Below are 26,767 nucleotides of genomic sequence, written 5' to 3'. Positions count from 1 at the left end.
ACCATTCCTTCCCACCATGTCCGGAGGAGCAGTTCTGTCCCTGGGAACAAATGCCATGAGCCTGAATGCAATCCATTAAACAAATAGGGTTTATGCGGCAGGAGAGAGCTGTTGAACCCTGCCTGGCAGCCAATGAATGAGCTCATTAGGAGACAGGTGTGTGGGGAGAGGAGCTGGCCTCCTAGCTCGGAGCTCTGAGCTCTGAGGATGTCCAGAGCCACACTTGGACCAGGTGCTCTTCTCGCAGCAGGGGGCAGACCTCTGAGTCCTGGCTGGAGAGGGGTGCCCCTCGCCAAGCTCCCCAGACTCGGTCATGTAGGTCTGACCCTCCCACAGAGTAGCCGTGAGGGGGCCCCTGCCAGCCTCCTGGGGTGCACCCTTGGCTTGCGGATCGTGGTGGGAAGGCAGGGGGCAGGCATGTGCCCAGGCCTGGCCGTGGGCATCAGAAGCTCAGTGTCCAGGCCCCTGCTGTTGGCCTCTGGCTCTAGGCAGTGCCCTCCCCTTCAGTGAGGCTCTGGGGAGCAGGAGGCCTTGAGAGCCTCAGGCTGGTCTCGGCACCTCAGAATGAGGCATCTGCTCAGAGACTCTGGGCTACCATCTTCCCCACCTTGGCACTTCGAGGTTCTGCCGGGGGTGGGCAGCCTCAGGCCCCCAGGTAGACCTCCACCAGGCCTCCCACAGAGTGCATGCGGTAGAAGACCCCCAGAGGCAGGCCGAAGTTGACGATGGCGAACCATATCTGGTAGCCGTAGAAATCCTTTTCTAGCCCGTTCTCAAACTCCGGGTGTATGCCAAATGCAGGCATCATCCACAGCTGGGGAAGAGGATGTGCTGAGTTAGGGAAGGGCTCTCCTGTGCCCCAAGGCACTCAGTTCAGGGGAGGCAGCCCCCAAACCTGCAGCCCCTCCAGTGCCACCCCCACCTCCCGCTCAGTCTTCTTCTAACCCTTGGGCTTTCAGCGTGAGCTCTTCTTTCCCCCAGATCTTTCTCGCCCTACTGCAGAAGGCCTTAGCTATCCCCAGCCATCTCTGTGAGCTTGCCTGTGGCCAGCCTGAACTTCAGATGGGTCAGGAGACCCCAGGCTGCCGCCACGTGTGGGGAGAAGCAGGAATTCCCAGCGCGCCACCTGCTCTGTCAAGCTGGGCACCCCCACCCTGTACCCTGAGCTCGGGCTTCACTCCTCGGCTAGCTACTTTTTATTTTTATTATTTATTTATTTTTTTGAGACAGGTCTCACTCTGTCACTCAGGCTGGAGTGCAGTGGCAGGATCACAGCTCACTGCAGCCTCAACCTCCCGGGCTCAAGTGATCCTCCCACCTCAGCCTCCCAAGTAGCTGGGACTACAGGCATGCACCATCATGCCTGGCTAATTTTTATTTTTATTATTACTATTTTTTAAGATACAGAGTCTCACTCTGTCACCCAGGCTGGAGTGCAGTGGCACGATCTCAGCTCACTGAAACCTCTGCCTCCTGGGTTTGAGCAATTCTCGTGCCTCAGCCTCCCGAGTAGCTGGAATTACAGGTGTGCACCACCATGCCTGGCTAATTTTTGTATTTTTAGTAGAGATGGGGTTTACCATGTTGCCCAGGCTGGTCTCCAACTCCTGGCCTCAAATGATCCACTCACCTCAGTCTCCCGAAGTGCTGGGCTTACAGGCGTGAGCCACCGTGCCCAGACTAATTTAAAATTTTTTTTGTAGAGACAGGGTCTCCCTGTGTTGCCCAGGTTGGTCTTAAACTCCTGGGCTCAAGGGATCCTCCTCCCTCGGCCTCCCAAAGTGCTGGGATTACAGGTGTGAGCCACTGTGCCCTGTCATTTCTGCTAGTTATGACCCCCTGCCCCCTCCTACCTTCCTGTCCAAATTCTACCCCTTCCTCAAGGCTCAGATCAAAACTTCATGAAGCCTTCCTTGGCTATGCAGGCCCACAGTTCCTTTGCTGAGCTCCTAATGCACTTTAGAGCCAATTTATTCTCTGCCTGGACCAGAGGTTTCATTTCTCAGGTATGTTTTCAGTGCATTGATTGCTTGGAGTCAAACACAACCCTGAGTTGTCCCAGCCCTGCCACTTACAGGCTGTGGGTACTTGGGCAGGTACAATAACCTAAGCCTTAGTTTCCTCCTCTGTGAAAAGGGACAGCAATAGTGTCTGTTGCATGGAGTTACTGTCATGATTCAATGAAGCGTAGAGACATTGCATGGAAAGGTGTACCTGGGACTTCCGCCAGAAGCTGGGCAGCCATTATCAACATCTTCCTCTAGGAGTGTCTTAGAAAATCAGGTACTTCCTGATCTCTTCCTTTGACTGAACCCAGGGATGATGAATTCAGTGGTGTCTTCCCAACTAGACAGGAAGTTTCTGGAGGGTGGATGTCTTACATATTTGTTTGTGAAGAGCACTTAGCCAAGTGCTTGGCACATTCATTTGTGCCAGGCACCCTGTAGGGAACTGGGGGGACACTCTCAAGCAGCATCAAGCTAGTTGGAAAAAGATGTGTCCTTGATCCATCCCTTCCTGAGTGAGGCTTTCTGGGTCTGCCTGGCCACCTCTACCCTCCAGGCCCCTTAGCCCAGCCACTTACTGTGATATTGCAGAGGATGAGGAAGAGTGAGATCTCCTTGAGTGCCCTCCGCTTCCAGTTGAGGTGGCTGTAGGAGTGGATGTAGGCCAGTGAGGCCCGCTGCAGGCCCTGGCCCAGCTCCAGCAAGGAGCCTCTGCGGGGAGGCTCAGCCTCCTGCTTTCCTGCCAGGCCCTCGGGAACTGTCTCCCAGAGTGGGCGCCGGTGCAGGCCCTCGATGATGAAGAGGTTCTGAGCGATGTGCTGCAGGATGAGCAGCAGCGAGTAGGCCAGGATGAGGCGGTTGAGCAGCTCATGCGGGCGCTTGGCCACAATGGCCACGATGGAGAAATAGGCGATGCCCATCTGGCCCAGTGCAGCACCCATTAGCAGCACCACATCCAGGCTGCGGGTAGGGTTCTTGACCGTGTCCAGCTCTCTCTCCTCCAGCCCGTGTATGGCTGTGCCCGCCAGGCACGCCAGACTCATGGTGGGCAGCACAGCCACATAGAAGGCATAGTAGAGGGTGAAGTACTGGCAAGCAATGGCAGGGCCACTGGCCTCGATTTGGAAGAGCACAAAGACGCACACACCTGCCAGCAGCACCAGCAGGCCCAGCAGCGGCCCGAAGATGGCCCCGTGCAGGTGGAAGGGTGCGGTGGCAGGGTGGGCACCCATGTGGGGTGCCACGTGGCGGCCCACGTTCTTCCACATGACAAACAGCACAGCACAGCAGATGAGGCAGTACTCAGTGCTGAAGGGGTAGAGCATCAGGAAGCCTCTCCGGAAAGCTTCACACGCGGTGGCATTGAGGCACAGACAGGTGTTGGTCTCATTGCCTGGGAGGGAGGCAGGGTGGGAGGGACAGACATTCAGGCAGGCTCTGCTCTGAGGAAACTGGCTACACAGATACCTCCCATTCCCTGGAATACACTAGAGCTGAAAGCGACCCAGCCGCTCATTTTACCAATGTGGAAACTGAGGCCCAGGCAAAGAGATCACAAATCCCACAGAATGGTCATTCTTTTTCAAAGGAATTGAAGACTTCAGATGCCAAACTTACGTAAAGCATTAAAAACATGATGCCAGCCAGGCGCAGTGGCTCATGCCTGTAATCCCAGCACTTTGAGAGGCCAAGGCAGGAAGACTGCTTGAGCTCAGGAGTTCAAGATCGACTTGGGTAACATGGTGAGACCTCGTCTCTACTAAAAATAAAAAACATGGCCAGGTGCGGTGGTTCATGCCTGTAATCCCAACACTTTGGGAGGCTGAGGCAGGTGGATCACCTGAGGTCAGGAGTTCAAGACCAGCTTGGGCAACATGGTGAAACCCCGTCTCTACTAAAAATACAAAAATTAGCTGGGCATGGTGGCACGTGCCTGTAATCCCAGCTACTCGGGAGGCTGAGGCAGAAGAATGGCTTGAGACCGGGAGGCAGAGGTTGCAGTGAGCCAAGATTGTGCCATTGCACTCCAGCCTGGGCGACAGAGCAAAACTCCATCTCAAAAAAAAAAACCACAAAAAACAAAAAACAAAAACTAACAAAAAACATTAGCCGGATGGCACACATCTGTAGTCCCAGCTATTTGGGAGGCTGAGGTGGGAGGATCACTTGAGCCTGGAAGGTTGAGGCTGCAGTGAGCCGTGTTCCCATGACTGTATTCCACTTTGGGTGACAGAGTGAGAGTGTGTCTCAAATAAACCAAAAACCGAAACCCCAAGAACCCTCACATGATGTCTCTGGTGTCAAATGTCACCTCCACAGATTACTTCCTGGGCTCAAGGGAAAACCCGTGGCTGTGACAGCGGAACCCAGCCATCGGCCTTAGCAGCACTCAGGGTCAGGTCATCAGTCATTAGTACCTTGCCATCCCTGTCCCTCAGAGCACACAGCATCACCTGGAAGAAGCTGGGGCCGAAAATATCTAACCTGAATCTAATCAAGATTTTGTCTATACTTCCCGTTCCAAGGAAAAGTAGGGGAGAGGGATGTGAGTTAAACACTGCCAGGAGGAAGCAACCTGACAAGTCTCAAGGTCAGTGGGAAAACACCAATTTAGACTTAACCAAATGCATTGCATGTTTGAACAAACCGTCTGTAAAAGACATTTCTGGGGCTAACTGGAGAAAGTGGGATATAGATTGATTTAGAGGACAGAATGAAGCTAAAGGATTTTGTTAACAATTGTAATAGCATTGTGGTCATGTGGGGGAATACATCTCTTTCTAAAGAGATGTACACTGGGTCCGGCATGGTGGCTCATGCCTATAATCCCAGCACTTTGGGAAGCTGAGGAGGGAGGATCACTTGAACCCAGTAGTTTGAGATGAGTCTGGGCTCAGAAATTTTTTTGTGAGACTCCATCTTTACAAAAATTTTAAAAATTAGCTGGGTGTGCTGGCATGTGCCTGTAGTCCCAGCTACTCAGGAGGCTGAGGTGGGAGGATCGCTTGAGCCCAGAAGTTTGAAACTGTAGTGAGCTATGATTTCACCACTGCACTCCAGCCTGGGTGACAGAGCGACACCCTGTCTCAAAAAGAAAAAAAAAGAAAGAAAGAAGAAAAAAAGATGCATGCTGAAATATTTTGAGATATAATGTCATGATTTCTGTAATTTAAGTACTTCAGCAAAAATTAAAAATAAATAAATATGGCCAAATATTAATAATTATTATGCCTAGATGATGGGTATGTCTTGTTCTTCTACTCATTTGTAATGCTTGAATCTTATTTTATTTTGTTTTATGACAGTTTCACTCTTGTCACACAGGCTGGAGTGCAATGGTGCGATCTCGGCTTACCGCAACCTCCGCCTCCCGGGTTCAAGCGATTCTCATGCCTCAGCCTCCTGAGTAGCTGGGATTACAGGCACCCACAACCATGCCTGGGTAATTTTTGTATTTTTAGTAGAGACGGGGTTTCGCCATGTTCGCTAGGCTGGTTTCAAACTCCTGACCTCAGGTGATCTGCCTGCCTCGGCCTCCCAAAGCGCTGGGATTATAGGCGTGAGCCACTGTGCCCAGCCCTGAATTATTTTATAATTTCAAAATCCATGATGTCACTTGGCAAAAATTCTCTCTTTGCACAGCTTTTCTGAGAAATGCAAGCAGAGTATATAGAATGCTCACAGTACACAGGCGTGTCGTGACTGATGCAGCGGGTATGTGAATGTGTGGATGTGCTGGGAGGGCTGGGCTGCAGGGCGTGATGGTGATGCCACCCGGGGCGGGGTGGGGCATGTACATACAGGTGTGGCTCAATCCCACAGAGCAGTGTTCCCATGTAGGGTATGGGATGCAGCCTCTAGGATAGGAGGTGAGGCATATGGGACAATCTTGGGAGTTTTTTTCTGTCCAGATATCTTCCGTCCCACCTGATTGATGAGGCCAGGCACCTAAAATTGTGTTAGGAAGATATTCCTTTCAGCCGGGAGGCTGTTGAGTTGCTTGCAAGTAAAATGCAAATGCCACGGGCGGGGTGCATACCTGAAGGACTTAGTGGCTCTCTCAGCCAGGATCAGTGGCTGGCTTGCTGATGGCTAGCTGGACACCTGGAGTTGGGTGCAGGGCGTCAGCACCTGATGGGGTGGGATGGGGACCACTGGCAAACTTCAGTTTTCTGTTGATTCCTAATCTGGCCTCTAGAGTTTGCTCCCAACTCTATAGACCTACTGAGCCTCACCTGTTTTAGAGAGTGTAGCGTTTATGTGTGTGTGTGTGTGTGTGTGTGTGTGTGTGTGTTTCAGGGCAAGGAAGACCTGGTCTCCTTTCCATACCTGTGGATTTTTCCATGAGGATGCCAAGCTCAGCTTCGATCTCTCGGTGCATGGAGTCATTGGTAACGGCCAGAACCCACAGCAGCAGGTTTGTGGCCAGGGTCAGCATCAGGCCACACCTGGGGGAAATGCCACACTCTTCTCACACACCCTGGCCGGCTCCCCAGGTGCCAAACCCTCACCATCCACTGTTGTTGGGGCAACCACTCACTCCCAACCACTCACTCCCTAGTGTCACACTGGCACTAGGACACAAGAGGCAGCCCTGGGGCCACCTAGGACACATCCCAGACTAACCTATAGCCCCGCGGCCACCCTGACCAGGGAAGTGGTGGGGAGGACAGAGAGGCCAGAGGGTTTGGGAGGGAGAGAAGTCTTACCTAGTGAAGTTGGTCTGGACCCGAACACAGTCTTTGCAGTGTTTCCAGAGCACCCAGGTCTGAAAGAGACAGGGCCTTGAGCCCAGGGGCTGGTGGAGGTGGTGGGACCACAGTGTGAGTTCCTGGGGCGCATGCGTGTATTTACAGTGAAAGACACAGGGAGAAAGACTGGGTCGGAATCTTGGCTCTACTGCTTCTTGCTGTGTGGTATTGAATCAGTGGCAAACCATCTCTGAGCCTTAGTTGCCTCAGCTGGGAAAAGGGACCAAAAAGCCCACCCTTTGGGGAAGTGCTTTCTTGTTGGGGGAAATAAGACTGCGGGAACGAAGCACCCAACACAATGCCTGGTGACAAGAGAAACCTAAGAGGAAGCTGGAGATTGTATTCTTTTCTTTTTTGTTTTTTGGAGTCTCGCTCTGTCGCCCAGGCTGGAGTGCAGTGGCGCAATCTCGGCTCACTGCAAGATCTGCCTTTCGGGTTCACACCATTCTCCTGCCTCAGCCTCCTGAGTAGCTGGGACTACAGGCGCCTGCCACCACGCCCAGCTAATTTTGTTTTTGTATTTTTGGTAGAGACAGGGTTTCACTGTGTTAGCCAGGATGGTCTCAGCTAGTCTCGATCCCCTGACCTTGTGATCCACCCACCTCGGCCTCCCAAAGTGCTGGGATTACAGGTGTGAGCCACCGCGCCTGGCCGATTGTATTCTTTTTTTTTGAGACAGAGTCTCACTCTGTCGCCCAGGCTGGAGCTCAGTGGCATGATCTTGGCTCACTGCAACCTCTGCCTCCTGGGTTCAAGCGATTCTTGTGCCTCAGCCTCCCGAGTAGCTGGGACTACAGGCGTGCGCCACCACACCCGGCTAATTTTTGTATTTTCAGTAGAGACAGGGTTTTACCATGTTGGCCAGGCTGGTTTCAAACTCCTGACCTCAGGTGATCTGCCTGCCTCGGCCTCCCAAAGTGCTGGGATTACAGGCGTGAGCCACTGCGCCCTGCCGAGATTGTATTCTTAAGAGAAGGTTTATACATGTAGGGAGTGTATATCCAGGGATATGCCTACATACGCATAGACAGCTGGACTTCTAAGTGTCTACATTCGGTGACACGGTGTGTGTGTTGATGCAGGAACCCGTGGGTATGTGTGGACGTGGACACTTGTGTGAGGGGTGTGGTGTGTGTGCAAAGACCCTGGGACATTAGGTATTTGCCTGTGTGGCTGTTCCTAGGCATAGGTAGTGGGAGGTGTGTGCATGGCATGGGTAGATAGGGTATGTCCTCGGTGATGTGGGGACGTGAGAAGCCTGTCACCTGGACGCCGATGAAGACCATCTCGATGACAGAGAAGACAAGGTCCAGCTGTGACTTGCAGCGGATGTGGCTCACATCGTAGCCCACTCGGAAGATGTTGAGGCAGAAGGTGCAGCTGCCGAAGAGCACTAGGGAACCTGGCCGGACATGTGGGCGGGCGTTGGCACCTGCGCGGAACCGGCTCTCCCTCCCCACCCCTGCCCAGCCCCCCAGCAACCTGACACTCACCCCGCACCCAGAGGGGCCCCGCGTGGGGATCTTGGTAGAGCACGGCGTGTGGTCGGCGGGTGGTGCTTGCCACATAGTAGAGAAGCCAAAGCAGGGAGAGGACCTTCAGCGTGGCCAGCAGGATCCACACGTCACCCAGAGTGACGGCCACCTTGTTGAAGATCATGCTGCAGATGAAGGCGCCACCCAGGAACACCACATTCAGGGCCAGGAGCCCCGAGAAGAGTTGTCCAGCCTTCTGGGCCTGCCGGTCCCGCCGCAGCAGCAGAGAGAAATGCCTCACCAGCCAGGACTTCTGCCGGGGCCGGGTGGCGGCCGCTCTCTCCTCGGCCCCCACATCCACTCGGTTCTCCTTCTCCGGGGCTGCTTCAGTCTCCTGTGCTTCTGAAGAAGGCATGGGTGTAGCCTCAGCAGGGGCTGGAGATGGAGAAAGGGTCCTGGGTTAACTGCCAGGCTGTCCTGGGTTCAAGTCCACGCTGCCCCTAACCGCTGTGTGACCCAGGGTCAGCTATGCGGCCTCTCTGGTTGGGTGGTTGGGACATTGGAACTAATAGCAGCTGCCCCATCTATCTTACAGGACCTGAGGAGGTTCAAACAGACCAGGAGACCCTACGGAAACCTCTCGTGCTGCACATAAACATGGGGAATTAGTTTGACTGGCGTGAGGATCATGTCCTCCCTCTCAACCCCACTTCCTGACTTGTGCCTGATCCTAAAGTCAGCGTCTGCCTAGTGCCTGGTCAGTTTCTAGGGCTGTGACTTTTTGCCATGAAAAGGCAGCGGTGTCCTTCCGCCTTCTGGTAGGACTTTCACTTCTGACACCAGGGAGGGCAAATTGGTGGCCTTTCTTATTCTGACCCTGATTGGTTGGGAAATGATTGCCTAAAATGTCTTGTAGAGAAGCATCCTGAGGCTGTGTCTGGGCTTGGTAGGGAAGAATGGTGTGATCTGAAACAATACTGTATTATGGGAACATACAAGCACCTATATGATTACTTTTAAAAGGTCTAGACCAGCAGTCCCCTCCCCAACTTTTTTGGCACCAGGGAGCAGTTTCGTGGAAGACAATTTTTCCATGGATGGAGGGTGGAGGGATGGTTTCGGGATGAAACTGTTCCACTTCAGATCATTGGGTATTAGATTCTCATGAGGAGTGGGCAACCCCTAGATCCCTCACATGTGCAGTTCACGATAGGGCTTGTGCTCCTATGAGAATCTGTTGCCACTGCTGATCTGACAGGAGGCAGAGCTCAGGCTGTCATGCTCCCTCCCCATCACTTACCTCCTGCTATGCGGCCTGGTTCCTAACAGGCCATGGACTGGTACTGGTCCGCAGCCTGGGGACTGGGGACTGCTGGTCTAGATTATACCCATCAGTTTCACAATAGGAGTTTCTTCTGGGATGAGAGTACTGGGATTGGGAGTAGCAGACTTTTTAGCTTTACTGTTCTAGTTTTTTAAAAAAAAATTAGCACAGTACTTATGTAATTAAGAGTAATTTTAGGCTGAGCATGGTGGCTGATGCCTGTAATCTCAGCACTTTGGGAGCCTCAGGTGGGAGGATTGCTTGAGCCCAGGCATTCAAGACCAGCCTGGCTAACATAGGAAGACACCATCTCTTCAAAAAAAAAAAAAAACAAAAAAGCCGAAAAAAACCCCATATATGTATATATGTATGTGTGTGTGTGTGTGTGTGTGTGTGTGTGTGTGTGTGTGTGTGTATAATATATATATTAGCCAGGTATGATGGTTTAATGCCTATAGTCCCAACTACTCAGGAGGCTGAGGCAGGAGGATGGCTTGAGCCCAGGAAATCAAGGTTGCAGTGAGCTATGATTGGACCACTGCACTCCAAGCTGAGTGACAGAGCAAGACCCTGAGTTTAAACATAAATACATAAATAAAATAATTTTAAAGTACATTAAAGGTTTAGGGAAAAGTTTCTGGGGTTGATTCACAATGTCTTCTGAGAGCATGGGACAGGCCTGGATCAGCATCGCTGCCACGCCCTTGACTTTGAAGGTTGACTTTGAAGGAACTGGCTTCTATTTCTGTGCCCCTCCCCCCACTCCCGGAAGTCCCACGAGTGCCTGGCATAACGTAGGAAACACGATCGTTACCCTCCTCTTTTCCTGAATGTCTCCTGCCATTTCCTCACCTCTCCCAAGCATTCACACAGGCCAACCACTTTGTCACCACTTGCTAAGACCAGATTTTGGGCCATCCAATGCCTGCAGCTCTGAGTCCAGCATGCTCTCCCCACCGGACACTCCTTCTTCCTGGTGGGACTGAGGTGCTGTTGAGAGTGGGGATGGTTCTGCTGCTTCTGGGTGCTCTCCTGGTGGGGAGGCTGAGCTGACCCAGAAGGCTCCCTAGAGACCCCCTGTTCCACCCAGGCTCTTCCTTGGTCCTGCTGCTGCCCTTGTGCTCTGAGCTCAGGGTTCTAGGTGCTCATTGCTCCCATTCTCTTGCTTCCTAATGTCACAATCTCAGAGTGACATCTCCATCTCCCCACCTCCTAGCAGAGAACTGGGTGTCCTTTTTGCCTCTCCCCTCATCCCTTGCATTCTCTTAGGCCCCAGGCTTGTTCATTCCAGCTCACAAGTTGCTCTTAGATTTTTATTTGTCTATTTTTAGAGCTAGGGTCTCGCTCTGTCACCCAGCCTGGAGTGCAGTGGCACCATCATAGCTCACTGCAATCTTGAACTCCTGGGCTCAAGTGATCCTCCCGATTCAGCCTCATGAGTAGTTGGGACTACAGGCATGTGCCACCACCCTTGGCTAATTTTAATTTTTTTTTTTTTTGCAGAGACAGGGTCACGTTATGTTGCCTAAGCTGGTCTTGAACTCCTCGCCTCGAGTGATCCTCCTGTCTCAGGTTCCCAAAGTGCTGGGATTACAGGTGTAAGCCACCATGCCTGGCCCTGATTTTTCTTGACCTCAACCACTACCTAGTCTGGGCCCCCTTCCTTGCTCTCTTGGACTGGTCTTCTTGCCCAGAGTGCCTCTCCCCTACTTAAAGTCCTGCAAAGGCAACTAATTGCCCTCAGTATAAAGTCCAAATTACTGACACAGCCTGCATGGCCTCTCAAAATGAGAGGTGTATGATTAGTATGGGCCTGGACAAGGTTCCAGGTTCTCTGCCCAAGGCAGAGTAGCTGCTGCTGCTTCCTGGTCTGGCTTCAACTTACCCCTCTAGCATTGTCTTTGACCCTACTCCCCTCTCCTTGGGCTATACCATCTTGCTGCACTTCCTGGAACGCCCCCAGTCTTTGCCCACACCCTATTCTTTGCCTTTAATGCCTACCCCTTTTGCCCCTTGGGTAACTCTAGCTTGTCCTTCAGGACTCGGCAGAGACCCTGCCTCCTCTCTGCGGCCTTCCCTCGTCAGCATTCCCACCTCACCCCACGCTGACCACCCATCGTCCTCTGCTTCCATTAGCTGTGCTTTGCTCTGTCTCTCCCTTGAGACCCCAGGCTTCAGGAGCTTCAGACGTGCCCTCTATGCAACACCAGAAGACTCTCACCATATCTGGCTTGAAAATGCAACCTCTCCGGGCTCCCATTCTCCCCTTGTCATATTCTCCCATTCTCCACCTGCTCCATATTTATACCTTCTGCTGTTCTCTTCTGGGGCAGATGGAGCACTAAAACTTAAGCCTCTTTTCAAGATTCTATAAATGATTTTCTCCCCTTTCCCACTCCACTCTGTCATCCTTGCCTAAGTTCTGTCTCCTCCCTGTCCCACCACCCCTGCCGTACTCAAGGCACCTGCCTCCCACACCAACCCAGGCCCAGGTAGAAAGTTCTGCGTTTCTCCCATGGTCTCCTGCCTCCTGCCATCCCTCCTGGACACTGCTCTTCTTTCTGCCTCCCCCACCACTCGCCCATCCTCCCCACCCACCTGGAAAGCCTTCCTCTCTGCCTAAGCCTTCTGGTGCTACTTTGCTGGGGCCACTCCCCTCTATTGAGAGGTGTGCCCTGTTTGGTGTGCTGTGGGTGTGGCTGGCTCCCATTAAGTCCTGAAACTCCTCCAGGACAGAGACCGGGTCCTGCTTAACTTGGACCCCCCAAACCTAGTGCAGATGTGACATTCACCCAGTGATTGCCCACTGACTCTGGCATCTTTTGGGAAATTTTCAGCACCAGAGCTGTGGACAGAGACCCTTCCCATTAAACTCTTTCCGGGCTGGCTGGGGAGGAGACTCCCGATGATCTTTATCTTTCCCTCCTAAGCTCCCCCACCCAAATTGAGCAAGGCTGGGGCTCACCGGGATGTCTCCCTGCTCCATATATCCCAACTGTAACTGCTCTACTTCACCTTCCCCAAAACCTGCACCCTCTCCTCCAGCCCCCAAGCAGGGTAGATTAATGATCAAGTGCTCAGATTCCAGCACTTATTACCTCTGTCATCTTAGACTACTGAGACTACTACAGAGAGCTACTTAGACTCTGTGCCTGAGTGTTGTCATCTGCAAAACTGATATACAACTATGGAATAGTAGCTGGTGCATAGTAGATGCTCAATAAAGACTTCCGGAACGAGGCTGGCTGCAGTGGCTCACGCCTGTAATTCCAGCACTTTGGGAGGCTGAGGTGAGCGGATCCCTTGAGCCCAGGAGTTGGAGACCAGCCTGGGGAACATGGCAAAACCCTGTCTCTACAAAAAATACCAAACAATTAGCCAGGTGTAGTGGCATGCACCTGTAGTCCCAGCTACTCGGGAGGCTGATGTGGGAGGATTGCTTCAGCCTGGGAGGCTGAGGCTGCAGTGAGCTGTGATCGCCACAGTGAACTCCAGCCTGAGGGACAGAGTTAGACCCTGTCTCAAAAAAAAAAAAAAAAAAAGGGTGGGGGGGTGATGAATGCCGAATAGGGGCTTTGTCAGAATGACATGATTTAATACATGCACGAAGCACGGGCAGAGAGTAATGCCGGCAATGCCTGGCACCTGGAAAACTCAGTGTTGGCTATCTCTGCATTTCCTTCCAGTTCTTTTGAGGTCCTGGAGAGCTGGGAAGGGTCGGGATTACTGGTGAAATTTCAAGGGTGAATTTTATTCAGACTGGAGGCCTGGAGGGGACACTGGGGGACAAGGTTCCAGGTTCCCTTCCTCTGGGGTCTTTGCCCTGACAGTATCCCCCGTCTCCCACCCTGAAGTCCAGCCCTCCAAAGGCCGCTGGCGTGAGCCTTCAAAGGAGCGAATTTGGTCCCGGGCTGGGCAGGGGGCAGGAGTGGGCATTTAGGGGTCTCGGGCAGAAGGCTGGGGCAAGGGCACCTGGAACTGACAAGCAGTACTCTGCCGCCCCCTGGCACGCCCCTGGGCGCGACGCCAGTCCAAGGGAGGGCCGGGACACTGGACTGGTTTGTGGGTCTCGGCTGGATTGGCGATGAAAGCCGCGGAGCCGTCGGGCCCGGCGCCCGGCCCAGCAGCGCAGGGCCGGCTCCGAGGAGGCTGCTGAGTGCGGGCGCCCTCGGGATTTCCTTCCGAGCCATTTTAGGGACTGCGGGGCCGGGGCAGCCGCTTCCTGCGTGCCCCAGACCGGGCGTCCAGACAGCCCCAACCAACCTCACACCCCAGGCCTCCGCGCTTTCTGCTGTGTGGACCCGGCCGGGAGGAGTCGCGCCCTGAGGCCCTCTGTGCTCCCCGGGTCCACGGAAAGGAGTAGGGGCGCGGAGCGCGGGTTGCGGGGCGGGTGGAGGGGCCGGCCTCAGATTAAAGGGAGTTCACCTCTCCACAGTCACCCCGCTTTCCCGTTCCAATCCCTGCAGCCCCTACTTGTGAACCCCCCTTTTGGGGGGGTGGGTAGTATGTGCCAGTGTCTGGGGTGCGCAAGCTGGGAAAGTTCCGCCGGCGCTCCGGGCTTACCTGAGGCCGGGAGAGGCATCGCCGTGGGCTAACCACCGACTGCGGGCGCTGAGCGGATCGTCCGTCCAGGTGAGACCGATGCCCGCGACGCCCTCCCCCAGCGGGACTGCGCAGCCGCCGCTCGGGCTCCGCGGCCCATCGATTTTTCTGTTGACTTTGGAAATCTCATTAATCCCTCGTTAATTACCCTCCCGGGGGCTCGGACCCAGAGGGTGCAGCCAATTGCGAGGCAGCTGGACAAGCGGGCGGGGCTGAGGGCTGTGCAGGCGCGGGCCTGCAGGGTCTCCAACTCGCAGCCCGCCCTCGGATGGGGTGGAGAGGGGTGCAGTGTTCTTAGGTCCGCAGTAAAGAGCTTGCGGAATTCAGGCCTCGTTTTCCTTTGGTGATCAAGCTGGGAATGGACGCCCTCCCTCCAGGCCTGGAGTCGCTTTTTCCTGTACCCTACCTAGCCCCAGGCCTGGAGGCCGCCTAGCAGGACCCTGTGTTTCCCTTAAGTCAAACCTGAACTTGGTGGGGAGAGTTGGAGCACAGCCCCATTCTGACAGGGGAGGAGGCCTCCTCAGCTCCACCTGCGGCCTCTGAGAACTACTCACCTCCTTCTGCTGACAGGGTCCAGGCACACTTTCCTCAAAGTCCCCTGAGCTCCCAGTGCTGCTGTTCCCATGATCTCCCCCAAATGCCATCTGCTCCATGGGTCCCGCCCAGCCCTCCCTCTCCCAGCCCTTCCCCTCCCTCTGCCTCTGCATGCTCACCACCACCTTTCACTCTTCTAACTGTGGAGCCTCCTTCCCATCTCTCTGCTGTCTTCCCTCCTAAGCATCTCTATACCCTTTGTAGAGTAGAAACCCTAGGGCTTAGGGGAAACTCCTCGGGGACCTCCTGGGGCAGGGGGAAGTCAAGTGGTGAGGATCTGAGACTCCCAACTCCTTTTAAATTAGAACTGCCTTGTTTATATCTTTTTTGTTTGTTTGTTTTTGTTTTTGTTTTAGACAGGCTGGAGTGCAGTGGCATGATCTCGGCTCACTGCAACCTTTGCCTCCTGGGTTCAAGTGATTCTCCTGCCTCAGCCTCCTGAGTAGCTGGGATTACAGGCGCACGCCACCATGCCCGGCTACTTTTTGTATTTTTTAGTAGAAACAGAGTTTCGCCATGTTGGCCAGGCTGGTCTCGAACTCCTGACCTCAAGTGATCTGCCTGCCTCGGCCTCCCAAAGTGCTGGGATTACAAGCGTGAGGCACTGCACACAGCCTATATCTATGTTATAAACTTGTGTTCCTGTAATATTTTATTTGAAGGGAAAAATGTTCTGCTTGAAAACAAAGTTTGAAAATTATTGTTCTTAGCAGAAAGGCTCTGGATTTTTTGCAGGTGTGTGACCTTGGGCAAGTCACTTTACCTCTCTGGGCCTCAGCTTCCTTCTTTGTAAAATGCAGACATTAGACTAGGTCACTGCTTCCTAAACTTTCTTCTGTCATGGGACACACACAAAGAAAATGATTAGGTTGAGTGCTGTGGCTCATGCCTGTAATCCCAGCACTTTGGGAGGCTGAGGGGGGAGGATCACTTGAGCCCAGGAGTTCAAGACCAGACTGGGCAACACAATGAGACCCTCATCTCCACACACACACACACACACACACACACACACACAATTTAGCCAGGCGTGGTGGCAGTAGTAGCTGTAGTTCCAGCTACTCAGGAGGCTGAAGTGGGGGGGTCTCTTGAGTCCAGGAGGTTAAGGTTGCAGTGATCTATCTGCACTCCAGCCTGGGCAAAAAGGTGAGACACTCTCTCAAAAAAAAAAAAAAAAAAAGATTATATGTATATGCCACCTGGAGATAAAGGGAAGAGGAAGATGGCAGTTTGGGAACTCCAGTTACCCACCCTGTAGCTAGTCTGTCATTTGGATTTTGCTCACACACTGCAAAACTTGAGACCTGAAAATCTCCAGGGGCCCTTCCCGCTCTGACTCCCAAGATCCTCTCCTGTGACCACCTCAGACGGGACAACAGAGACAAACAGTGGGGATGGGGGCAAATCACAGGTTTATTGGTTTCCAGCTCCGGGCAGTACACTGGCCAGGCCACAGCAGGGGATTAGAGATGGAACCAGAGCCGGCACCTCCAGATCTTGTTGGGTCCTAGAAATGCTGCCAGGAGAGGTCTCCCTTCCCCAGTCACCTCATGCCCCACGGTCATACTGGGGTGGATGGGCCTGTCCTGACTGTGATTTAAAAATTGAACCTGGAAAAATAACTTTTGTGAAAATTCCACTCTGGGACCAGAAGGAAATGGGCTGTCATATGGCACCAGCTGGGATTCATTCCCAGAGGGTGTCTGAGTGGGCACATGAGCTGAGCCCCCTCTTCCTGCCCCCCATGCCTCTGTTGGAGGCCTCAGGACAGCACGTAGACCTCCAGCAGGCTGGACACAGCGTGCATGCGGTAGAAGATGCCGAAAGGGAGGCAGATGTTGACGATGACCGCCCAGAGGGAGTAGCCGTAGAAATCCACCTCCACTGTGTTGCTGAAATGAGGGCGGGCCCCGAAGGCAGGCATGATCCACAGCTGTGTGGAGAGAGGAGCATTTCAGGAGCTGGCCTGGATGGATGCCTGTGGGTCATTTCTGTGGGTTTTGCTGGGCCGTGGCTAGATGGCGGCCCATCCTTCTAGCTTGGTGGACACGGAGGGCTGGGTGTCAGTGAATGGGCAGCTCTAGCATTTTGGACAGGACCTAGCACACTCTAAGGGGCTCAGGAAGTGAGCCCAACTGAATTCGCCATCCCTAGGCTAGCCCACCTCATGGACACCTGTGATCACCTCTCCCAAAATCTTAGCAGGGCCTCAATGTGGGATTGGGGAGGGGAGAAGAGGTTTCTCTAGAAGAAGAGGTACAAACAGTGAAATCAGCAGCTCTGTCCTGGGGGGTTTTGTGCACAGGGGTGGGGGTGGCAGAATCAGATAGGCTCAAGGCAGGGGTTTGGGGTTCAGACAGAAGGCCACCCCACCCCAGCCCTCCTTGAGCTCTGCCCTCCAGCTCTCCCCTCATCCCCTTCTCCCTTTCCAGGAGTGGGAGGAAGTGGAAGTTGGAATCCTGCTTCCTCTCTGGCTAGGAGCTCAGAAGATTCAGGTGTGGGTAAGAAGCAAAGAACAAAGGTTTCTAGGCTAGCTCCACCCCTACCCCTGATTAACTTCATCCTTGGGCACATTGCAGTCCCCTCTAAGCCTGTTCTGTCCTATAAAATGAAGGAGATGGAGAAGATGCTACTGGAGGTGATTTAGGCTCAGATGCCTGGAGCAAGAATAGCCTCCCAGAAGGTGGCCCCTAGCCTATAAGCCAGGCCTGGGTGGAAGGTGGAGGTGGGGCCAGAGGGCAGGGGGCCAGGTACCAAAGACGTTCCAAGACATGCTGAGGTCTGGACCTTAATGATTCTGCTGGTAGGGTCAGAGATTGATGACCACATTTTTTTTAAGTGAAATTGATTGTGTTGGAAGGCTCCTGCGTGGCATCATCCCACATCTATGGGGACCATGACCTGGTGGATGGCCCTTCACAGTGGGACCTCACTAAGAATGACTCTTAGTTAGGGCCACTGGTGTACCTCATGCAGGTAGGATTTCATGGGGTAGAATTCACTCTGGGGCTCTTGCTCTGTCCTGGGATATACCCACATTAAGTAATTTTCTATATTAGGGATATTTTTCTATTGGAGGTTCTAGCTGGAAGGATTGTTTTTCTATTGAGTGAAACTTCATTAGAATTGTTTTTTTCTCTTTGAGATGTACCCACATAGGTACATGTTTCTATATCAGAGGTAATAATAAGCCCCCACTGGGCCATTTCTGTCTTGGGTTGTACTAGAAACACCAGGAGTGTTTTCCTATTGGTATGCACTTTCATTACCAGTGTTTCTGCCCTGGGGTACTTCTATACAGAGAATATATTTGTATTGGGTGAAGTCTATTGCTTTTTTTTTTTTTTTTTTTTTGACAGAGTGTCACTCTGTTGCACAGGCTGGAGTGCAATGGTGCAATCTCAGCTCACTGCAACCTCCGCCTCCTGGGTTCAAACAATTCCCTTGCCTCAACCTCCCAAGTAGCTGAGATTATAGGGTGCGCACACTACCACGCCTGGCTAATTTTTGTATTTTTAGTGGAGACAGGGTTTCACCCTGTTGGCCAGGCTGGTCTCGAACTCCTGACCTTGTGATCTGCCTGCCTCGGCCTCCCAAAGTGCTGGGATTACAGGCGTGAGCCACTGCACCCGGCCAAGTCTGTTGTTCTTAATCTTTGCTGAGTCACTAGGGAGGGGGTGGCTGTTGTAGATGCCCTCCTTCCCAGTTCACTCTGCTAACAGACCGCTCACACTTAACACTGGTCTCCGCTACTTCCTGACACTGTTCCAATTATTCTGAGAAGCAGGCAGATCACAAGTTCCCAGGAGCAGTCACACCTCCCACTGGGGGGTGAGGACCCCGCCTTCCACATCAGCTCTCAGCTCCCTCTCACCTCTGCCCAGCCCCTGTGTCAACCTTCCCTGGGACCCTTCCAGCTCCATCTGCTGCTTAGATGCCAGAACGCTAGGATTTCATTTTCTCTGTGTGCCCTGAGATGCCATTTGCCCCAAAGCTACAGCTGGCCCCCTCTGAACCTGCTCCTTTCCTAGAGAGCTGTAAGATTCTCAGGCGGGCTGGGGGCAAGACAGAGAAGGCTAAGGGCTTAAGCCTGCAAGAGCATCCTTCCTCAGTCTCTTCTCCCAAGCCCACCCTTTCTCCCCCCAGCTACTCACAATGACATTGCAGAGTAGGAGAAACAGAGAAATGTCTTTTAGGCACTGGCGTCTCCACTGGCTTCTGGGGGTTGAGACGATGGCCACTGCTTCCCGCTGGTCTGAAGGGCTGGGGCTAACCAGCCCGGGGTTGGGTGGGCAGGCGGACAACGTGTGGAGGGCATCCAGGTTGGTGAAGGTGAGGTCTTGGCAGGGCTCCTTGGGGTGGGTACTGTGAGGCTCAGCCCCGGGCGGTCCTCGGTGAAGGCTCTCGATGATAAACATGTTCTGGAAGGTGTGCTGGGCGATCATGAGCAGTGCATGGGTGAGGTTGAGCCCTGCCAGCAGGTCCTGGGGTGTGCCCGCCACCACAGCCACGATGGAGTAGTAAGAGATGGCGTACTGACCCAGGGCGGCACCCATCAGCAGGGCCACGTCCAGAGTGCGCGTGGGGTTCTTATGGTGGTCCATGGCCCGGCGGTCAAAACGGTAGATGATGGAGCCGCTCAGGCTGACCAAGGTGGTGAGTCCCAAGCAGACAATGTTGAAGCTGTAGTAGATGACCAGGGCCTGCCTGGTGCGGCTCCCGTCCCCGCTCACTTGAACCTCGTAGATGATGAAGACAGCCAGCCCCACCACGAAGAGCAGCAGGCCCAGAACCGGGCCAGCAAAAAAGGTCTCCCGGAAGAGGCTGACAGGGGTTGGGGTGTGGCTGTGGCCAGGGGTGGAGGCCAGGAATCTACCCACATTCTTCCACATGACATACAGCATGGTGGAGGCGAAGAGGCTGTACTCGATGTTGAAGGGATATAGGTAGAAGTACCCCTGCTGGAAGATCTGGCAGACGGCCGTGCTGCAGAGGCAGGAGTCTCCTCCGACCGGGTTGTCTGCATGCTCTGTTGTGGAGAGAGACACAGGGCTGGACAGCCCTCCTGCCTTCCTAGAGAGGTCTCACCCCTAGCCTGTGACCTTTTTTTTTTTGTTTTGTTTTGAGACGGAGTTTCACTCTTGATGCTCAGGCTGGAGTGCAATGGTGTGATCTTGGCTCACTGCAAGCTTCACCTCCCGGATTCAAGCCATTCTCCTGCCTCAGCCTCCCAAGTAGCTGGGATTACAGGCACCTGTCATCACACCTGGCTAATTTTTATATTTTTAGTAGAGACAGGGTTTCGCCATGTTGGCCAGGCTGGTCTTGAACTCCTGACCTCAGGTGATCTGCTTGCCTCGGCCTCCCAAAATGCTGGGATTACAGGCGTGAGCCACCACGCCCAGCCTAGCTTGTGACCTTTGTTAAGGGCAGGCTCCCTGTCTGTCATGACTGCTATATTCACCACGGTATCCCTCATGCCTTTACAGGGCGTGGCACACTCCTTCACTTCACAAATATTTCTTGAGCACCTACTGTGTGCCAGAGACTGGGACACATCAGTGCTCAGTAAGAACAGTCCAGGCCAGGTGCAGTGGCTCACACCTGTAATCCCAACACTTTGGGAGGCCAAGGTGGGTGGATCACCTGAGGTCAGGAGTTTGAGGCCAGCCTGGCCAACACGGTGAAATCCTGTCTCTACTAAAAATACAAAAATTAGCTGGGCTTGGTGGCATGCACCTGTAGTCCCAGCTACACGGGAGGTTGAGGCAGGAGAATTGCTTGAACCCAGGAGGCAGAGGTTGCAGTGAGCCGAGATCGCGCCACTGCACTCCAGCCTGGGTGACAGAGCAAGACTCTGTCTCAAACAAACAAACAAACAAACAAACAAAAAAACAAAACAGTTTGAACCACAGGACTGCTCACTTCACCCCACTCCATTCCTTCCATCCCTTTCTGCCCTGGCTCCCTGAGATAGAAAGTGGCTCTCTTGGGAACCTCTAAAGTTCAGGCTTCCTCACAGCTCTCCCTACCATCTGATTCAGCCCAGAAAGCCAGCTGCTGTGCCCAAGTCTCCACCATGACCTCCCGTTACTTCTGTTTGTACCACATGGAAAGGAGTCTTGACTTGATTCCAGAATGTGTTTGTAGGATACTCTGGGCCTTGGCAAACGTCTCTTTTCATCCTAAGAACTAGCCCAGCTGGTTTTGCAGATGAAGAAACTGAGGCTTAACGTGGTGATGTGACTTGTAAGGGCAGAGTCAACGCCAACTGCCTGACTTCTGACCCCGGGACAGGTACTTCTCTGACAGGCCTCTCTCCAGCCTGCAGGCCCCCATGTGAAGTCCATCACCTCCCTGGTTTGGTTTTGCACCCTCAGGAGTCCTCTCTGTGCAGGGTGGTTCTTTGTAAGGCTTGCTGGGCTGGGGTCTCCCTGAGGGCAGGGGCCATGCTTTCTGTTGCCGGACCCTCCCATGCTAGGAGCGTGCATGTCTTAGTTATCTTGTCTGGTCCTGGCTATTGGGGGACCCTAGAGAAGTCCAGAGAATGAGGACTGGAGACTGGATCCCGTTCCTCCTTAGTTTAGCATATTGTTTAAAAACAAAGATGCATATGAATGCTAGTGCTAGATCTTGGGTGAGCTACTTAAGCTCTCTCTGCCTTAGTTTCTGCACCTATGCATGGGAATGGGGAGAGTACCTATTTCACAGGGAAGTGTTGAGGGTTAAATGGAGTGTTTAAGACACTCAGCACAGTGCCTGACATACAGACCTCAGTAAATTGCCACCCTTACCATTGTGATGCCATGATTATTTCTCACCTTCTCCTCCTTCCCGGGCTCTCCCATCTGATCCATGCTTGCACCACAGAACCACTCTGCCTCCCTTCTCCTTTTCCCAGCTTGATCACTCTTGCCCTTTCTTCCTGGATTCTGGGTCTGGGTCTCTTTTTTTTTAATTTTTGAAACAGGGTCTCACTCTGTCACCGAGGTTGGAGTGCAATGGTGCAATCACAGCTCACTGCAGTCTCGACCTCCCAGGCTCAAGCAATCCTCCCTCCTCAGCCTCCCATAGTAGCTGGGACCACAGGCATGCACCACCACAATGGGCTATTTTTTTGTATTTTTTGTAGAGACGGGGTTTCATCATTTGGCCTAGGGTGGTCTTGAACTCCTGAGCTCAAGCAATTGGTCTGCCTTAGCCTTCCAAAGTGCTAGGATTACAAGCATGAGCCACTGCACCTGGTCCTGGGTCCCTTCTTGGTGGGATGGAGACTGGACAGGGGGGCCTGGGCTGCAGCCTCAAGGATAAAAGGGTACCCCTGATACTTCCCTTCTGGGGTCACCTACACCTATACTGCAGAGGTAGATCCTGCAACAGGAGGAGGACCCTGGCTCTGTCCTTTGCCTCTATGCCCTCATGAGGGCACAGGAGACTGACGTTATAAATTCACAAAGCACCCGGCCCAAGGCCTGGTAGCCACAGGGCCAGCATTAAGAGGAAACTCACGGTCAGAGATGAGACGGGCGTGGCTGGCGTTGCTGTGAGAACTGCTGTAGGAGTGGGATTGGTGCACAGATTCATCCACCACGGCCGCCATCCAGATGGCCAGGTTGGTGGTGAGTGTGAACATGAGACCACACCTGTTTGGGGTCAGGGGTGGGGACAAAGAGGCCTGTGACCCTTTGGCAGGTTGGGGAGCAATACTGAGAGCTGGTGTTGAGAAATGATAAAGCAGCCAGGCCCTGTGTGAACAGGGAAGCTGATTTTGGTAGGAACACAGCCTGGCTGGTATGCCACCAAAGAGAGGGCTAGGAGGTTTTCCCGGGGGCCACCACCACTCCCTCCCCTGGGAGAAAGGGCCCCACAAGGTAGTGGAAGTCAGCCTGACAAAGCAAGGAGGGCTTGGCTGCAACCCCACCCAGGGGACATAAAGAGAGGCCCTGCCCCAGGGTGGAAAGCCTGAATCTCTCCTGCAAGGTGAACACCAGCACGCTGGGTACAGGCATCGAGCTGCAGTTCTCACCAGGTCAGATCCAGGTGGACGTGAACGCAGTCTTTAGCAGAGACCCAGAGAAAGTAGGTCTGTATGGAGAGACATTGGTGAGAGTCATTTACTCCATAGATGGACAAAACTCCAGCGCACCCAAGTCCATGCCATCTTGTTCTCTCCGCCTGAGGAACCCTTACACTGAGTTATCAGGTTCATTTTAGCTTCACAAAATGAGGTGGAGGCTGGGTGCAGTGGCTCACGCCTGTAATCCCAGCACTTTGGGAGGCTGAGGCAGGTGGATCACTTGAGGTCAAGAGCTTGAGACCAGCCTGGCCAACATGGTAAAACCCCATCTCTATTAAACCCCATCTGTACTAAAAACGCACAAAAAATTATCTGGGCATGGTGGCATGCACCTGTAATCCCAGCTACTTGGGAGGCTGAGGCAGGAGAATCGCTTGAACCCAGGAGGCAGAGGTTGCAGCCGAGATCGTGCCACTGCACTCCAGCCTGGGCGATAGAGTGAGACTCCATCTCGAAAAAAAAAAAAGGAAAAGAAAAGAAAAAAGAAAAAAAAATTAGGTGGGGAGCACTGTCTTTTTCTATTCTGACACAGTTTGTATAAAATAGTGGTTCTCCATTCTTTAAAGGTTTGCAAAACGTCACATGTAAAACCCTGCTCGTGGTGGGGTTTACTTTGTGTGGAGATGGGGGTCAAGTAGATTTTTGACTATCTAGTTTTTTTTTTTTTCTGGGAGCAAGGCCAGCCTCAGGTTAGGTCTTGCTCAGGGTGGAAGGAGTCTCTGTGGACTTCTCACCTTCATTTGACAACATCCCCTGCTCATCCTCTTCCTCTGTCACCGTACCAGGCCTTGCTACCATCTGGCTGCCTGTGAATCCCTGCTATGGCATTTGGTGATGTGGGGATATCTATATTTTCATTTTACCTGAGTATTCTTCAAACCCATAAAATACGAAAGACTAAAACTACATAAATGCCACAGCCACATGTGTGCTGAACTGTGAAAACCTGGGCAGCAGGAGTGATGTTTCTGGGGAGGGCATCATCCATGGTGCCATTTTGGTCATGATAGAGGGCTGGGGGCTGTTCTGATCCCATCTAAGCCCAGTCCTGTCTCAGCTCAATCAGAAGATCTTTCAAAGTATTGTTTATGCAACAACAACTACAAAGTGAATGTTTGAGAAATCCCAGTTACAGGCTACCCTACTTTCCAAACAAATACAGCACAGAGGGACCAAGCTGGCAGGAGCCTGGGCTGACACAGAAGCCCCCTACGGGCACCCAAGAAGGGCAGGCCAGGTTCTAGGAGACAGGGCTGGCTGGCACAACTCACACCTCCTAGGTGTTAACTACTGGCACTGCTTAGGTTGAAATAACATTGCAGAGCTCCAAGTGGGAGCTCACGTTGGGATGTTACTTCATTATGAGGCGTTTCCACATTGATGGACTCCTGTGATGCTCTCTACAGCCCTGTCCCTGGTTTACTTAATAGCTCAGGATACGAGGCGGATGGAGCTCAGGTCTCCGACCCCTTGTTGGGTCCTTCCCAATGGCCAAGTGTTAGCTCCTTTCTTCCACACAGCGACACTCCTCCACCCACCTGGATGATGACAAACACAGCCTGGATGAGGGGGTGCAGGATCTTGATGGCTGACTGGCACTCAAAGAAACTGGAGTAGTAGCCGGTCTTGAAGACATCCATGATGAGGGTGCAGATTCCAAACAGCACCAGCCCACCTGGAAACCAGGGGTGGGTGGGTGGTGGTGGTGGATCAAAGAGGCAGGAGAGAAGGCCTGCCGAGCTGAGGACAGGCCCTGAGGATGGGAGGCTAGATGGGTGGGTGGATGGGTGAGTGAGTGCACTGTTGGATGGATCAATGGGGAGGGTGGGAGGACAGGTGGATAGGTGGATAGACAGACTGAAAGGTGAATGGGTGGATGGAAGGGTGAGTGTATGACTGAGTGGGTGGATGGATGGACCTGCTACCAAGCCCCCCTCTCTTTGGGGCTGTGTGGATACCGCAAAGGGCCCTGGCTGAGCTCTTTCAGTGGCTGCCATCTTCTGGTTCCTGCTCTCCATCAAAGGCCCTCCCTCAGCCAGCCTTCTCTAATCTTCAGACCGGGGGCAAAGAGGTCCCCTTCCATCCCTCTATTCATCCCTCCCCCAGGACCCCTTACCTTCCTCTTTTTCCCTAACTGCAGCCCACTTCACCCTCCGGTCCTCCTGGTCCTCCCTAGGGAGCCTCTCGCCCTCGTATGTCAATCTGCACTCTGCAACTCCTGCGAGAGCCCTAGCCTGCAGCTCCCTGTTGTGCCCACCCTACCTCGCCCCCACCTCCCCTGGCACCTCGGAGCCAGATGGGGCCAGCGTGCGCGTCCCGGTAGGGTACCGCGCAGGGGCAGCGCACGGTTCGGAGGAGGTAGAAGAGGATCCAGAGCGTTGCCAGCAGCATCATCGCAGTGAGCAGCGCGAACACGTCGGTGTCGTACACGGCCACCTTGTTGAAGGCTCCGCCGCTGATGAGCGTGCAGGCGAGGAGCAGCACGTTCACCGCCAGCAGCACCGACAGCAGGCGGCCACCCTTCTTCCACACCTCCCTGGGGCCCGCACGCGGCGCCGGGGGGCTCTCCTTGGGGCCCTGGGCCAGCTCCTCGGACATGGCGGAGGCGACTGGAGAAGGCTAGAGGGATCACTGTAGGGGAGGAGCGGACAAAACTCCAGGTCAACCCTGACGGCTCTCCTTCCCCCATCTCATCCCTAGACTTGGGGACTAGGGAGTTCCTGACCCGCAGGGTTGGGGCTTCGGGTGCTGGAGGAAGCGCTGGGAAAGGGGAAGAGAAAATGCGGAACCTGCCCCTCTCGCTGGATGGGAAGAAAGGAGAAGCGGCAGCACCCGGTTGGACCCCTCCAAGGTCCCCACTCCCCAAGTCCGACTGCCCTCCGGCCCGGGGCACCCACCTGGCTGGGCTTGGAGCCGGCGCTGAGCTGGGGGTCAGGGGACGGCGAGCGTCTCCTCTCTCCCACGCCGAGATGGACAGGCGCTTTATACCCAGGAGGACAGGGTGATTTACAGCTGCGGGAGTTTGGCTCCATAAAGCTCTCAGTCCCGCTCACATGATCCATCTTTCTCCAAGGTGAATTTAGGGAAGAGCCCGCTGGAGCCAGATAAGGCAAGATTCATATTTACCCTTTGAGAGGCGACCCCACTCCGTCACCCCGGTGCGGCCAGGCTCGGGCGCGGCCCCGCACTGCGGCACCTAGAGGGCACCCCGCCCCTGGTGCCCACCGCGCCCTGGCGCGCAGCATTCCAGGCGCCCAGAGCCCCGAGAGCTAAGCTCAAGAGACGTCCAAAAAGCCTGCGGGCACCCTGACGCCCTCCAGCCGCGGCGCACCCTGAATCCTGTGCTCCTGTGCTCCTGCCTGGGATGGCAACCCCAGTTCCCCTCTCCCCCACGGTCCTCGCAGTGATCCAAGCTCCCCTTTCCTCTATCCCACCGCCCTGCCCGCCCCCGCCGCCGGCCCGCGCTCCGTTGGACTCCGGGGCTTGGGTGCGAAGTTCCACGCGGCACGCGGAGCCGCTGCCAGTCCTCCAGCGCCCCCTGCTGGAGTGCGGTCGAGGGACTCCGTTCAGGCGGCGGCGGCCTGGCCCGTCCCACTCGCTGACCGAACCGCGGTCGGTCACGGTGCCCCTTCTTAGGTCCACTGTCCTGGGGCTCAGGACGGCTCCCCCACCCCGCCCTCCGGCACCCCTCCCCAGCTCTCGGTTCGTTCCACTGACAGGTGGAGAAATACGGAGCCACAGCGCCCCAGGCTCTAGTGAGGACAGATCTCTGACTGTCCCCGGACTGGGCGTCACAGTGCGCGGCCCCGGGGTGGGCACTTTTGAAGAGGAGGACAGGGCCTTGCGTGGGTCACCCTCGTGTATTGAGGTGCATGCAGGGTGTTTAGGACCCAGGGGAAGACCGGGGGCGGCTCCCTGGACAGCGGGAGATTTCGTCC

At 54.1% G+C, this 26,767-nt stretch overlaps 2 protein-coding genes across 4 annotated transcripts, besides 3 other annotated features; both read right to left on the bottom strand.

The window, feature by feature from the left end:
- On the bottom strand, nt 68-14,258 carry OTOP3 (otopetrin 3). 3 transcript variants are annotated; one of them, NM_178233.2, is made up of 7 exons: nt 14,153-14,258; nt 8,251-8,634; nt 8,023-8,159; nt 6,716-6,774; nt 6,336-6,454; nt 2,585-3,399; nt 68-814 (listed from the first exon to the last, which is right to left on the bottom strand). In NM_178233.2, the coding sequence occupies exons 1-7, from the start codon at nt 14,256-14,258 to the stop codon at nt 644-646; spliced, it is 1,791 nt and encodes a 596-aa protein (NP_839947.1). In that variant the 3' UTR covers nt 68-643. The 3 variants fall into 3 exon arrangements, with proteins under 3 accessions (NP_839947.1, NP_001258934.1, XP_011523046.1); NM_001272005.2 differs by having other exon boundaries at nt 8,251-8,667; nt 14,120-14,162; XM_011524744.3 differs by having other exon boundaries at nt 14,120-14,162.
- Nucleotides 5,433-6,632: an enhancer, noted in NCBI's record as "MED14-independent group 3 enhancer chr17:72939523-72940722 (GRCh37/hg19 assembly coordinates)". NCBI's record gives its function as "activates an origin of replication core promoter dependent on BRD2, BRD4, P300/CBP and CDK7 cofactors, and independent of MED14, by STARR-seq in HCT116 cells {active_cell/tissue: HCT116}" and the evidence as "EXISTENCE:reporter gene assay evidence [ECO:0000049][PMID:35650434]".
- OTOP2 (otopetrin 2) lies at nt 16,148-25,787 on the bottom strand. The gene is made up of 7 exons (NM_178160.3): nt 25,727-25,787; nt 25,115-25,460; nt 24,368-24,504; nt 22,779-22,837; nt 22,262-22,395; nt 18,907-19,781; nt 16,148-16,685 (listed from the first exon to the last, which is right to left on the bottom strand). The coding sequence occupies exons 2-7, from the start codon at nt 25,425-25,427 to the stop codon at nt 16,515-16,517; spliced, it is 1,689 nt and encodes a 562-aa protein (NP_835454.1). The 5' UTR covers nt 25,428-25,460; nt 25,727-25,787; the 3' UTR covers nt 16,148-16,514.
- Nucleotides 18,312-18,606: an enhancer, noted in NCBI's record as "tiled region #12431; HepG2 Activating non-DNase unmatched - State 21:Repr, and K562 Activating DNase matched - State 5:Enh". NCBI's record gives its function as "activates a minimal TATA promoter and a strong SV40 promoter by Sharpr-MPRA in HepG2 and K562 cells {active_cell/tissue: HepG2 | K562}" and the evidence as "EXISTENCE:reporter gene assay evidence [ECO:0000049][PMID:27701403]".
- Nucleotides 25,668-25,851: a silencer, noted in NCBI's record as "fragment chr17:72920304-72920487 (GRCh37/hg19 assembly coordinates)". NCBI's record gives its function as "represses an EF-1alpha promoter that drives an FKBP-Casp9 reporter gene in an ReSE screen in HepG2 liver carcinoma cells {active_cell/tissue: HepG2}" and the evidence as "EXISTENCE:reporter gene assay evidence [ECO:0000049][PMID:32094911]".

Source organism: Homo sapiens, chromosome 17 (genome assembly GCF_000001405.40).
Source record: "Homo sapiens chromosome 17, GRCh38.p14 Primary Assembly".
NCBI lineage: Eukaryota > Metazoa > Chordata > Mammalia > Primates > Hominidae > Homo > Homo sapiens.
This window is presented reverse-complemented; position numbering and strand designations above follow the sequence as displayed.

Bases quoted from the DNA above. Each gene is read 5' to 3' on its own strand.
- OTOP3 (NM_178233.2), bottom strand. From the start codon at position 14,258: ATGGGCCGCGGAGCCCGAGCGGCGGCTGCGCAGTCCCGCTGGGGGAGG. The intron at 8,635-14,152 runs GTTAGCCCACGG...TGCCTTCTTCAG, and splicing joins CTCAGCGCCCGCAGTCGGTG to AAGCACAGGAGACTGAAGCA. The intron at 3,400-6,335 runs GTATGGAAAGGA...CCTCCCTCCCAG, and splicing joins CCTCATGGAAAAATCCACAG to GCAATGAGACCAACACCTGT.
- OTOP2 (NM_178160.3), bottom strand. From the start codon at position 25,427: ATGTCCGAGGAGCTGGCCCAGGGCCCCAAGGAGAGCCCCCCGGCGCCG. The intron at 22,838-24,367 runs GTGGGTGGAGGA...CTCTCCATACAG, and splicing joins CTGTGTTTGTCATCATCCAG to ACCTACTTTCTCTGGGTCTC. The intron at 19,782-22,261 runs GTGAGTTTCCTC...TCTCCACAACAG, and splicing joins CGCCCGTCTCATCTCTGACC to AGCATGCAGACAACCCGGTC.